Source organism: Homo sapiens, chromosome 20 (genome assembly GCF_000001405.40).
Source record: "Homo sapiens chromosome 20, GRCh38.p14 Primary Assembly".
Classification (NCBI taxonomy): domain Eukaryota; kingdom Metazoa; phylum Chordata; class Mammalia; order Primates; family Hominidae; genus Homo; species Homo sapiens.
In genome coordinates this window covers 52,102,181-52,115,474 of record NC_000020.11, presented here as the reverse complement: position 1 = coordinate 52,115,474, position 13,294 = coordinate 52,102,181, and the positions used below count along the sequence as shown (strand labels likewise).

Here is a 13,294-nt window from a genome sequence, read left to right as displayed (position 1 = left end):
CCACGGCACTCCAGCCTGGGTGACAGAGTGAGACCCTGTCTCCAAAAAAAAAAAAAAAAAAAGCTGTAGCGAGCATGTATTCTTCCAGTACTTTTTTCACTGGATTTATGTGAATATATATTTCACCATTGAAAATATGTATATATTTGAATATGTGTTTAGATCTATATATCTATGTGGGCCTTGCTTTTTTTTCTTTAATGCAATATATCTTAGAGCTCTAAGCATGCTAGTATTCATAAATCCAGCCTGGTGTTTCTTTTTTTTTTTTTTTTTTGAGACTCACTCTGTTACCCAGGCTGGAGTACAGTGGCGTGATCTTGGCTCACTGCAAGCTCTGCCTCCCGGGTTCATGCCATTCTCCTGCCTCAGCCTCCCAGTACCTGGGACTACAGGCGCCCACCACCATACCTGGCTAATTTTTTTTGTTTTTGTATTTTTGGTAGAGACAGTGTTTCACAGTGTTAGCCAGGATGGTCTTGATCTCCTGACCTCGTGATCTGCCTGCCTCGGCCTCCCAAAGTGCTGGGATTACAGGCATGAGCCACCGTGCCCGGCCTGGCCTGGTATTTCATGATCTGGCTAAACCTCAGTTTAATGTAGCCACTTGCCTATTGTTGGACATTGAGGATGTTTCTTCATTTTTTTTTGCTACAACAATGACTTGCAACAAACATTCTTGGACATTCTCCCTTGTGCGCCTGTGCAAATGTTTCTCTGGAGGAGAAAAGATGGAAAGCAGAATTGATAGATTGGCAGGACATATTTAAAAACGTATTGCCAAATTGCCCTCAAAAGTGGCTATAAACATTCATGCTCTCACTAGCAATGCATTAGAAAACCAATTTCCCTGTACTCTTCCTAACAGTAGATGTTCTGAGTGTTTTAAATTTTTATTGATCTGATAGGTGAAAAGAACAGTGGGAACAGGCTTTACTAGCCATTCCCTTATAATTAGTAAGATGGAACATCCCTTCCATGTTTGTTGCCCTGAATCTGCATTTAACAAGGTCCCCGGGTGATTCCTCTGTACATCAAAGTTTGAGAAGCACTGAAATCAGAATCTGACTTTTAACAAGGTCCCCAGGTGATCTGTATACATGTTACATTTTGAGACACACTGGCATCAGAATCTGCATTTTAACAAGATCCCCAGGTGACTTCTCTGCACAGTGAGTTTGACAAATACAGCATAGGCATGGAATAGCTGGCTCACGCTCAGCATGTGTGTGTGTTTAATCTTTTCTATCGGGACAGGTGAAAATCAGTGTTTCCGTTTACTTGAACTAACATTTCTTTAATCATAAGTGACCTTGAATATTTTTTTTCAAATTTTTACATATCATGTTTTTCTTATCTGGGAGCTACCTAGTCCCTGAATCTCCTTAGTTTGCTTCAAACATACCAAAGTTGGTCGCTTAAAAGAGTCTTTGCTGTTGCTCCTCCCTCCCCTGGGGACGCTGTCTCCCTGGTTCTTTCCATGGCTGGCTATTACATTTGTGTTTTAGCTCAAAGGTCACTTCTAGCCAAAATCAGGTACCCACCACTACCACCCAGTCACTCCCGATCACACTACCACAGTATTTTGATCACAGCACCTATTGCCCTCTAAAGTGACCTTGTACATTTTCTGGTTACTTCTCTGAATCCCTTCTGGATCTTGCCTGTCTTTATCACTCTATCTCCAGCCTAGAGCAGAGGCAGGCAATAAAGTGGGCTCAAAGAATTGTTATCAGATGAACTAATGGTGGCTCGTGCCTATAATCCCAGCACTTTGGGAGGCCGAGGCAGGTGGATCATCTGAGTTCAGGAGTTCGAGACCAGCCTGGCCAACATGGTAAAACCCTGTCTCTCCTAAAAATGAAAGAAAAAAAAAAAAAAAGCCAGGTATGGTGGCGGGTGCCTTGTAATCTCAGCTACTTGGGAGGCTGGGGCAGGAAAATCGATTGAACGCAGGAGACAAAGGATGCAGTGAGCCGAGATCGCGCCACTGCACCCTAGCCAGGGCACCAGAGCGAGACTTGGTCTCAAAAAAAAAAAAAAAAAAAAAAAGAATTCCTGGCAAGGGTACAAGGGTAATGATCAATAAATAAGATTTGTTCCTGTCTAGTTTTCTTTCTTTCTTTCTTTCTTTCTTTTTTGAGGCGGAGTCTTGCTCTGTCATCCAGGCTGGAGTACAGTGGCGCATTCGCGGCTCACTGCAAGCTCCGCCTCCCGGGTTCACGTCATTCTCCTGCCTCAGCCTCCCGAGTAGCTGGGACTACAGGCACCCGCCACCACGCCTGGCTAATTTTTTGTATTTTTAGTAGAGATGGGGTTTCACCGTGTTAACCGGGATGGTCTGGATCTCTTGACCTCGTGATCTGCCTGCCTCAGACTCCCAAAGTGCTGGGATTACAGGCGTGAGCCACAGCGCCCTGCCTCCTGTCTAGTTTTATACCTCTTTGGGGAATCATTTGTGCCTGGATAAACATTTATTTGTTCATTCTGGTATTCATAGTAGAGAATGGTAGTATTAATGATACAAGTTTAATGAAGATGCTTAGGAAGGAGAACCCAGCCAGGCACGGTGGCTCATGCCTGTAATCCCAGTACTTTGGGAGGCCGAGGTGGGAGGATCACTTGAGCCCAGGAGTTCAAGACCAGCCTGGGCAACATGGTGAAACATCTTCTCTACAAAAAAATACAAAAATTAGCCTGGGTGTGGTGGCATGTGCCTGTAGTCCCAGCCACTCGGGAGGCTAAGATGGGAGGATCTCTTGAGACCTGGAAGTTGAGACTGCGGTGAGCCAACATCACGCCACTGCACTCCAGCCTGGGTAACAGAGAAAGATTCTGTCCCAACAAAGAAAAAAAAAAAGGAAGGAGAACACAACCAGGGTGCCCACATCCCCAGAGGCCCAGGACAATCAGAAACAACATTGTATTGATACTTTGTTTTTGTATCTTTCTCTTTAAAAAGAAGAGTAAGCTTTCCCCATTTAATATATGGATTGAAACTATGAAAGCATGGGAATTCTGCAACTCAGAAGGGTTGAGTAAGGTCACACATGCTTGTTTGCTTCAAATATATTTCCATGTAAAACAGTAACTTTGCCTAGTTAAGTGGAATAACCAATTACAGATGAGTGCTACTTTCATAGATAACTATAACTCTTACTCCATTATCATAAATAACTGTTAATACTTAGAGTAGTATCTATGTACTAGATGTTGTTCTGTACCTGTTTACATATATAAATTCACTAATCCTCAAGCCACCCTTGGCATTGCCATTTTATTAATGAGAAAAATGGGACACAGAACACTTTTCTTGAGATCACACAGGTGGGATGTGAACAGAGCCAGGAGCTGGGATTCTTGTTTTTTTTTTGTTTTTTTTTTTTTTTTTTGGAGATAGAGTCTCGCTCTGTTGCCCAGGCTGGAGTGCAGTGGCACGATTTTGGCTCACTGAAACCTCTGCCTCCTGGGTTCAAGCGATTCTCGTGCCTCAGCCTCCTGAGTAGCTGAATTACAGGTGCCCACCACCAATCCCAGCTAATTTTTTGTATTTTTAGTGGAGATGGGGTTTCACCACGTTGTCCAGGCTGGTCTCAAACTTCTGACCTCAGGTGATCCACCCGCCTCAGCCTCCCAAAGTGCTGGGATTACAGGTGTAAGCCACTGTGCCCAGCCAGAGCCAGGATTCTAACTCAGGTTGGCTCCAAACTGTGCTTTTAGTTACTACATTATCCTGCCTCTGGCATCTTTATAATGTTTGTAAAGAGAGGTAGAGTGACCAGGAGAATCTGTTGTATAATTCAGAAGTATGCTGTTTATCTCTTGGCAAAATACTTAAGAGTTGCGAGAATTACAGATATTCTCTATTTTTCTTCTACAAAGCGACAATGTTTGAAAATTTATTAACTTTCTGTGTGAACAAAGGGGATTATCTAACAACTATTAAAAAAAAAAATCGGATTCTGGGCAAGGTGGCTCACGCCTGTAATCCTAGCACTTTGGGAGGCCGAAGCAGGCAGATCACCTGAGGTTGGGAGTTCAAGACCAGCCTGACCAACATGGAGAAACCCGTCTCTACTAAAAATACAAAATTAGCTGGGCGTGGTGGTGCATACTTATAATCCCAGCTACTTGGGAGGCTGAGGCAGGAGAATCACTTGAACCCGGGAGCTGGAGGTTGCGATGAGCCGAGATCGCGCCATTGCACTCCAGCCTGGGCAACGAGCAAAACTCAGAGCGAAACTCCGTCTCAAAAAAAAAAAAAAAAAAAAAAAAAATTGACCGCTGACTTGGGGCGTTCTCCACTACGGCTTCCCCACCTCCCCGTCGCGGAACCCGGCGATGTGGCTGCCGCCGTGCCCCGCTCCGCGTCTCTCTCCCTGCCGCTTCCCCTTCTCCTGGGCTTCCTGCTCCTCTCCGCTCCGCATGGCAGCAGCGGCCTGCACACCAAGCGCGCCCTTCCCCTGGATACGGTCACTTTCTACAAGGTCATTCCCAAAAGCAGGTTCGTCTTGGTGAAGTTCAACACCCAGTACCGCTACGGTGAGAAGCAGGATGAGTTCAGGCGTCTTGCTGAAAACTCGGCTTCCAGCGATGATCTCTTGGTGGCAGAGGTGGGGATCTCAGATTATGGTGACAAGCTGAACATGGAGCTGAGTGAGAAATACAAGCTGCTCAAAGAGAGCTACCCAGTCTTCTACCTCTCCCGGGAGGGGGACTTTGAGAACCCAGTCCCATGTACTGGGGCAGTTAAGGTTGGAGCCATCCAGCGCTGGCTGAAGGGGCAAGGGGTCTAGCTAGCTATGCCAGGTGGCCTGGTGGCCAGCTGCATAGGACACCCTGGCCAGGAGTTCATCAGGGCCTCTGGCGTGGAGGCCCGCTAGGCCCTCTGGAAGCAGCGGCAGGACCACCTCTCAAGTGTGAAGGAGACTGAGAAGAACTGGGCCGAGCAATACCTGAAGATCACAGGGAAGATCTTAGACTAGGCAGAGGACTTCCCAGCATAGAGATGACATGGATCTCCAGGCTGATTGAGAACAAGTTGAGTGACGGGAAGAAGGAGGAGCTCCAGAAGAGCTTAAACATCCTAACTGCCTTCCAGAAGAAGGGGGCTGAGAACGAGGAGTTGTAAAAAGGCTCTCTATGGTTTTCCAGGGTTTGGTAGGGGTGGGGAGGGGAGAGTTAACCTGCTGGCTGTGAGTCCTTTGTGAAATATAAGGGGTTGGTGGGAAAAGTGGTACTAACTTACAATTCTGAGCTCTGAGTATGCCTGGACGTTGATGCCGATGTAGCCATGCTTGGGATGTCTCTAGCTGGTGTGGGGATAGCTGGAGCACTTCTCAGGTGGCTGGTGAAATGACCCCTCAGAAGGAATTGGTGCTATAGAGAAGACTGAGGAGTGTACGGCCCAGGTCTTTGACAGGTGTAATTTGGATTCAATTAAAGTTTCAGTGTTTTGGTTAAGTGGAAAAGAAAAAATCAGGACAAAGGCAATATATGAAGAATGAAGAAGTAACTAGTTTTCAACAGAAACATCCCATGCAGAAAGTACTTTTCAATGCATGTTTGGCCATGATTCCCTTGTTATGTGATATTGTTGCTGAAAACAATGAAAAGTTGTCACCTATAAGAACCTCAGTCTACGTGTTTAAAATTAGCAACAAATTTTTTTCTTTTTTTTTTTTTTTTTTTTTTGAGGTGGAATTTCGCTGTGTCACCCAGGCTGGAGTACAGTGGCACGATCTCAGCTCACTGCAACCTCCGCCTCCTGGGTTCAAGCAGTTCTCCAGCCTCAGCCTCCCATGTAGCTAGGATTACAGGCATGTGCCACCACACCCAGCTAATTTTTATTTATTTTTAGTAGAGATGGGGTTTCAACATGTTGGCGAAGCTGGTCTCGAACTCCTGACCTCAGGTGATCCACCTGCCTTGGCCTCCCAAATTCTGGGGTTACAGGCATGAGCCACCGCACTCAGCCAGCAACAGATTTTTGTAGCCTGTTTAAACATCTTCTGGCCAGGCACGGTGGCTCACACCTGTAATCCCAGCACTTTGGGAGGCCGAGGCGGGCAGATCACGAGGTCAGGAGATCAAGACCATCCTCGCTAATATGGTGAAACCCCGTCTCTACTAAAAATACAAAAATTAGCCAGGCATGGTGGTGGGTGCCTGTAGTCCTAGCTACTCGGGAGGCTGAGGCAGGAGAATTGCATGAACCCGGGAGGCGGAGCTTGCAGTGAGCCAAGATCGTGAGCCAAGATCATGCCACTGCACTCCAGCCTGGGCGACAAAGTGAGACTCCGTCTCAAAGAAAAAAAAAAATCTTCTAAAAAAAAGAGCTTCCCTGGGCTTGAAATCCATTTGTTCCAGGTACAATATAGTAATGTGTCTTCTTCACTTTAATTTGCAGAAGCTCCTGATTATGAGGGAAGATTAAAATTTTCTAGCTGGATTTCAACAGAATAGTCAACCTGTGTAATAGGCAAATGGGATTGAAAGAGGAGAATCATGACTGATTACGCATGGCCAATGATACTTTGCTTTCATTTATATCTGTAGACCCTGTAAGTTTGTGTGTGTGTGTGTGTGTGTGTGTGTGTGTGTGTGTGTGTGTTTCAGATTTTCAATTTTGAGCCTTGAAATAAAGCCATTAAAACCAAACATGATGGCCGGGCGCAGTGGCTCACACCTGTAATCCCAGCACTTTGGAAGGCTGAGGCAGGTGGATTGCTTGAGGCCAGGGTTCGAGACCAGCCTGGCCGACATGGTGAAAACCCATCTCTACTAAAAATAAAAAAAAATTGTCGGGCATGGTGGTGGCTGTCTGTAATCCCAGCTACTCAGGAAGCTAAGAAAGGAGAATTGCTTGAACCCAGGAGGTGGAGGTTGCAGTGAGCTGAGATTGTGCCATTGCACTCCAGCCTGGGCAACAAGAGTGAAACTTCGTCTCAAAAGAAAAAAAAAAAAAGGTAATAAACTTAATTTAGGACTAGAACTCTGATTGGATGTTTTGCAAAAGAGTAAAAACAATTTTTTTCAAAAATAAGACTAATCAGTTGTCATTATATTTGTGGAACACATTTATCATTTTCACTTTGTTTTTGGCTACTATTATACCTACATGGAAAATGCAAGAAAAGACTATACCGAGATCCCATTTTATATCAATATAGTTGGCAAAAATCAAGACATTTTATAATCCTGAGTGTGAGAAAGAATGGGCTTCACATTTTGGGTTTTGTTTGTTTGTTTTCAAGACAGGTTCTTACTCTGTTGCCCAGGCTGGAGTGCAGTGGCGCAACCATGACTCACTGCCTCAGCTTCCAAGGGTCAGCTTCCTCCTGCCTCAGTTTCCAGAGTAGCTGGGAGCATAGGTGTGTGTCATCCGCCCAGCTAATTTTTGTATATTTTTTGTAGAAACAGAGTTTTGCCATGTCGCCCAGGCTGGTCTCAAACTCCTGAGCTCAAGTGATCCACCAACCTCAGCTTCCCAAAGTGCCAGAACTACAGGCATGAGCCACTGAGACTGACCTACGTTATTTCTTATACCTTGCTAGGGAAGTGTAAGTTAATACAATCACTTTGGCATTATCTCTTATACCACCCCCAGGTACACACTCACTCACGAGAAACTCTGACACTTTTTAGAAAGATCATAGCAGCACTGTTCACAATGGCAGAGACCTGGCAAAGGCCCAATTGCCCATCAACAGGAGAGTAGGTGAAGAAACTGGCATTTTCACACAGTGGAATATTTACAGAGCAGTCGAAATCAATAAACAATGACAGCAATTTGGATGATCTTAGCAAAATAATATTAAGTGAAAAAAAGTTATTCTTGGAAGATTACATACCCTTTTTATATTCTTTAAATATTAAAATTGTTTTTTTAAGGAATACATGTAGGTACAATAAAACTTGCTAAAGAGACAAAGCAAATGAATGAGATCTGTAGGAGTCAGGCTGTTGATTCTTAAGTTGTAGGGCAGAGGAGGGGAGGGGACATCAGGAGGCCATATAAAGAGAGATGTAGGTTGTGGTTAAGGTCCTACTTTGGGGCAGTAGGTTCCCTAGTACTTATTATATCATAATAAACAGAGGTGCAAGCAAGCAGCCTAAAAAATGTAGGCAAGTGTAGGCTAACAATAGGCCAGTAATAATGCCTCATGTACCAATAATTGATTGTGTACACCTGAGGTGAAATAACAACAAAGCAAATGCAAACACATGTACACACCTCAAGCAGTATAAGAGGGTCTCAGATGTCTCCCATCCCCCCATGCACCCCTCTTTCAACTTCCCCAGAGGCAACCACTGTTTATCCAGTCTCCTCAAAAGGAGATATGATAAACGTGTGTGTATATATACATATATATTTTTTGTTTGTTTGAGATGGAGTCTCACTCTGTCGCCCAGGCTGGAGTGCAGTGGCGCGATCTCGGCTCCACCTCCCGGGTTCAAGTGATTCTCCTGCCTCAGCTTCCCCAGGAGCTGGGATTACAGGCGTCCGCCACCATGCCCGGCTAATTTTTTGTATTTTTAGTAGAGACAAGGTTCCATCATGTTGGCCAGGCTGGTCTAGAACTCCTAACCTCATGTGATCCGCCCACCTCGGCCTCCCAAAGTGCTGGGATTACAGGAGTGAGCTACCGCACCCGGCCACGTGTATATATTTTCAAATGTCTTTACAGATCCGTGTAACTACACATACATCCCAAAGAAGACTTGAAGCGTTGTGTTTTTTAAAAAGTTTAAGTCTCGGAAATTTAACCTGACATGACTTCACCGGGCATTACACAAATATTCCCAAGTCGATTCACAACCTGAAAATCAAGGGGAAGTTTGAGGAAAACAGGTCAGCTTTTGAGAAATGGAAACAATTAAGCAAAAATGCCGTTCTCGCAGGCCCCGCCGTGGGGTTCGCCAACGGTAACCTCACAGAAGGCTCGTTACAGATGCTGCTAACCCCACAGGACCACCCCGTAAAACTCATACGCGGCGCTGTTAAAAATACAGATTCTCAGGCCCCGCCCCAAAAACTCGGAGATGAGCCTGGCTGGGTCTTTTTGAAACAAGGGCCCCCACGTGATTCTCAGGTTCGGGCAAGCTTGGGGCACAACCCAGTCTTAAGTAACTCCCTAATTTGAAGAAAGTAAACACCTGGGGGATGTAGGTGGCTTTCTTGCTTCCCATTGGATGTCAATTACGCGGCGCAAGGAGGGGTCTCCCTCGGGTCTCATCGAGGTCCCAGCCAGTCTGAGCATGAACGCTAATTAGCTCAACCCCCCGAGGACCACGCCTCCGTCACCTGCTGGGCGGGGCCGGCGCCGGGTTGGCCCCAAAAGCACTCCTGTGTGGTCCAAGAGCCGGTGCGCCCGAGTCACGGGGCGGGAGCGGGCGCGTGCTATATAAAAACACACATTTCTGGCCTCGGCCACCTGAATCCAGAACTTTCGGAATCTGCATTTCTCCCTGCAGTTGGAGACACTCCTCATTTAAAATTTAAATTTGGGTATGCAGCAGGGTTGAGAACCAGGAGTGGAGGTCGTGCTTCTCAGCTTGGATGCACATCAGAATGACCTGTGTGTGTGATGGGGGTGGTGAGGGAGGGAGACGGCTTTTTTAAAAAAACATCCCAGTGCCCAGGTCCCAGCCCAGACCAATTAAGTCCGAATCTAAAAGCGCAGCCTGTGCAGCGCAGCAGCCACAGCGCCACCTGGGAGCTCGTTAGAAATACAGGAGCTCAGGCCCCACCCCAGACCCACTGAGTCAGAATCTGCATTTTAACGAGATCCCCAGTGACTCGTGCGCACATTAAAGTTGGAGGAGAGCTGCGCTTCTGAAATTTTAATGGGCAAACGAATCACCTGGGGATCTCGTTAAAATGCAGACACGGTTTCTCAAACTTTAATGTGCATGCGAATCACCTGGGGATCTTGTTAAAATGCAGATTCTGATTCAGCGGGTCTGGGGTAGAGCCCGAGAGTCTGCATTTCTAACGAGCTCCCAGGTGGCGCGGGCTGCCCGGGAGCGGACCGCAAGTCCGCGGGACTCCTGGGGTCTTGGCTCCAGGCCAATCAGCCGTCAGGACTCTTGATAAATCGCCCTGCTCGGCTGATGAGCAGAATTGCCGGGACATGCGCGTTCCGGCCGAAGGGGGGTAATTTCCGAACTCCGGGAATTCGTTGTGTGAAGTAGGCCACTCCTAGGGACGCGCGGGGAGCCCGGTCCTCGCGCCATGTCGCGGCGCAAGCAGGCCAAGCCCCAGCACCTCAACTCCGAGGAGCCGCGGCCTGCGCGCCGGGAGTGTGCGGAGGTGGCCCCGCAGGTGGCGGGGGAGCCGGGTGAGTAGCGCCGCTGGAGCCCCGCCCGGGGGCTGGGGGCCGGTGCTCAGAGGTTCTCCGGACCCGCGCGGGTACGAGGACCGGGCAGGGGACCTGAAAGGGCGGGCGAAGCGTCCGGCGCAGAGTCCTGGGACTCGGACCTGGGCGTCCCCGCCCCCCGCCTTTGTAAATTACACTCTCCTGGAGTCCACCGTCCCCTTCCCCGCCTGGATTCCTCTAGCCACTCCTCTCAAGAGCTAGTCAACGAGTTTGCCTCCCAAACACGCTGGAAGGATGCTCAGAGGACCCCTCAGAGGCTGTTTTCGGGATGCGCGGGCACCCGAGTCTCCGGCCTCCTTGGCACTGGGCTTCGGCTGCGCGCCTGGAAGGTGGCTTCTTGCCTTGGGGTTACGTTTCAAATGCGTTGTCCAGGGAAGGCCTCACCGAGGAGCGGACGTTCGAGCGAAGACCCGAAGGATGGGAGGGAGCGAGCTGTGCAGGTACCCGGGGGAAGAGCATTCCAGGCCGAGGGAACAGAAGCGCAGGGACCCAGGGCGTCAGCGCTGCTGTAGCCCGAGAGGTCACCGGAGGCCCGAGAGGTGATGGGGGCAGACGGTGGGGGGCGGGGGACGGCCGTGAGCCTTGGTAAGAGCTCTGCATTTTATCTGAGCGAAGTGGGAGCCGTGGTGGGGATAGAGCAGTGATGCTGTCGCACTTAACAGGCGGCCCCCACACCCCCTCCTCGGCTGCCACGTGGACACAGGATGTAGCAAGGAGATCGTCGGCTACCTTAAGCCCCCCGGGCAGCATTTCTCGTCCCGGGATCCTCCGCTTCAGAAGAGCCTGCGGGAGGGGACCTTTTCTCGCTCGCCAAATTCTTCCTGCAAGTTAGGGATCCCCCCATCCCCCGCCTCCACTGGAATCTCAGGGGTGGGGTTGGGGAATCTGCATTTCTAAGGCGCTTCCCTTTTTGCTTATCTTGTGCTTAGATTAAGAGATTGTAGGTTCCTACTTTCTCTTAGGCTGCCAGCTCCCCGTGGTTAGCTGATACCTTTCCTTTAAGGGGCTGAGGAAAGGAGTTGTAACTGGACTTCCTCTTCTCCCCCGCTCTTTCCGGGCGCGGAAAGGAGGATGGGTCCCCTCTCCGGGGCGGCTCACCCCTCCAGAGCCGCGGGCTCTCCAGCTTCCGCATCAACTTCCACCACAGTCGGTCTGGTGGGTTTTGACCACAACTTCCCGAGGTGGTGGTGGAGGGGAGTAGTTTAATGAAGCCTCCACTAAACGAATAGCTTATATGTTAAAATAAAGCTTGCTCGAGTGGAGCTACCATAACCAGGATAGTACAACCACCCTCGTGCCCGAGGCCTGGGATGGAGATAGGCAGGTGAGACTTACAGGATCCCGTCCCCTGGGTCGAGGGGCGGGGCTCTTGCTGATCTCTGCGCCTCGGGGAAGTTGGGGAGGTACTGGGGATGCTGAGTCTTTTGGGGGAGGTGTTTATAGAAGAGAATTGCTGAGTAACCCCAGGCTGGAGTTGAAAGTCTGTGCACTGAGCTACTTTGGATTCCTGCAGCCAGCGCTGCGAGGCGCCTTCTGGAGCCGCACCCAGTGTTTCGGGCATGGGGAGGGTGTCGTGCGTCCTGGAGTACTGAGGTGACTTCTGTGGGAGCAGGACGCAAACTCTGCCGGCCCAGTAGTGTGCCTCAACCCCAGCCACCACTTCGGAGAAAAAACCGTCTTCCAACTGACGTTTTATCCTAGTACCTTTGGTCTGCGACACTGGCAAGGGGGTACATTTTTTACGAAGGTTGGGCCACTCTTAATTTGCAAGTGTCTTTGCAACTCAAGTAGCTTTTGGAGGAAAATAAAATGGAAAGTAATTAGTGGACTTCCTGTCACCACCAGTAAAATGACGAAGGGGCTGGAGGAACCTTACTGAGGGAACATCATCCGTTTCCCCAGGAGTTAAAACCCTCGCCATGCTAACCTGGTTTCTAATAGTCAAATGCGGCCCACCCCCACTTCCAGAGGCAGAGGGTCTCCCCCAGCTGCACCTTTCCCAGGAGAGTGGGCTTCAGGCCTTCTTTGGTTTCCTGGGTGTCTAAACGTAAAAGAAATCGGAGGCCCCTCACACCTCCCCATCAGAGGCTCTATCTGGGTCATCCTTTAACCCACCTCTCTCTCACTTTTCTAGTTTGCGTTGAAAACATGCATCTTTCTCCCCCTGAGAATCTGGTAGAATCTTACGTGTGTATATCAGTGAATAACACTAATAGCATTTATACAGTATTGACTAATACATGAGGTTCTCTTACATATACTAAAGAACTTCATCTAAGCTAATGAGACGGCCATAATACCCATTTCACAGATGTGGAAACTGAGGAACGGGGAAGTTGAGTAGCTTATCCAGTGGGACACAGCTAATGGTAAAACTGGAATTGAAACTTATCAGCTGGTTTCCCAGTCTGTTCCCCAAACCACTGTGTTATACAGTGCCTCACTTAGATTTGTTTTCAGTCTTGCTTGACTTCTGTGGAATTAAAACCCTCAAGAGTTTAATGGTTTTCTCTTCTAGTATGTGAGTTGCTATGTAATGAGGCTTTGTTTGTGTCTGTCCCTGAGGGACATAGGATGGGTTGCAGATCTGGCAAGTGTGGGTTCCAATGAGCTGAAAACTTCCAGTCCTGCAACCTTGAGCATCTGAGCCAGTTTCTTGCTCACAGAGCAAGAGACTCAAAAGTATGGTTCCCAGACCAGCATCGGCATCAACTGGGAACTTGTTAGAAGTGAAAAATCGCAGGCTCCACCCCATACCTACTCAATCAGGAACTCCAAATGGGAGCCCCTGCCACCTGTGTTTTAAGTAGCCTTCTAGGCAATTCTGATACACGCTGACGTCTGAGAACCACTGGCTGTGAGCTGTGCTTCTCAAATTGTAATGTGCTGTGCTCAGGAATCACCTGGGGATC

At 48.5% G+C, this 13,294-nt stretch overlaps 1 protein-coding gene and 1 pseudogene across 6 annotated transcripts in view, besides 2 other annotated features; both read left to right on the top strand.

The window, feature by feature from the left end:
* The window catches only part of ZFP64 (ZFP64 zinc finger protein), a 107,769-nt gene that overhangs the window by 76,305 nt on the left and 18,170 nt on the right, over nucleotides 1-13,294 (top strand). Inside the window, exon 1 of one of the 6 annotated variants that reach the window (NM_001319146.2) lies at nucleotides 10,187-10,343. The exons of 4 other annotated variants lie outside the window; for them this stretch is intronic. In NM_001319146.2, the coding sequence (NP_001306075.1) occupies nucleotides 10,238-10,343 (106 nt within the window). In that variant the 5' untranslated portion in view covers nucleotides 10,187-10,237. Of the gene's footprint in view, nucleotides 1-10,186; nucleotides 10,823-13,294 lie in introns of those variants that run through there. One more of the 6 variants, XM_006723822.3, reaches the window with a different exon arrangement.
* Nucleotides 4,279-5,328, top strand: ERP29P1 (endoplasmic reticulum lumenal protein 29 pseudogene 1; annotated as a pseudogene).
* Nucleotides 8,867-9,833: an enhancer, noted in NCBI's record as "NANOG-H3K27ac-H3K4me1 hESC enhancer chr20:50722181-50723147 (GRCh37/hg19 assembly coordinates)". NCBI's record gives its function as "activates a minimal SCP1, AML or CMV promoter by ChIP-STARR-seq in naive H9 embryonic stem cells {active_cell/tissue: H9 hESC(naive)}" and the evidence as "EXISTENCE:reporter gene assay evidence [ECO:0000049][PMID:30033119]".
* Nucleotides 9,834-10,802: an enhancer, noted in NCBI's record as "NANOG-H3K27ac-H3K4me1 hESC enhancer chr20:50721212-50722180 (GRCh37/hg19 assembly coordinates)". NCBI's record gives its function as "activates a minimal SCP1, AML or CMV promoter by ChIP-STARR-seq in naive and primed H9 embryonic stem cells {active_cell/tissue: H9 hESC(naive and primed)}" and the evidence as "EXISTENCE:reporter gene assay evidence [ECO:0000049][PMID:30033119]".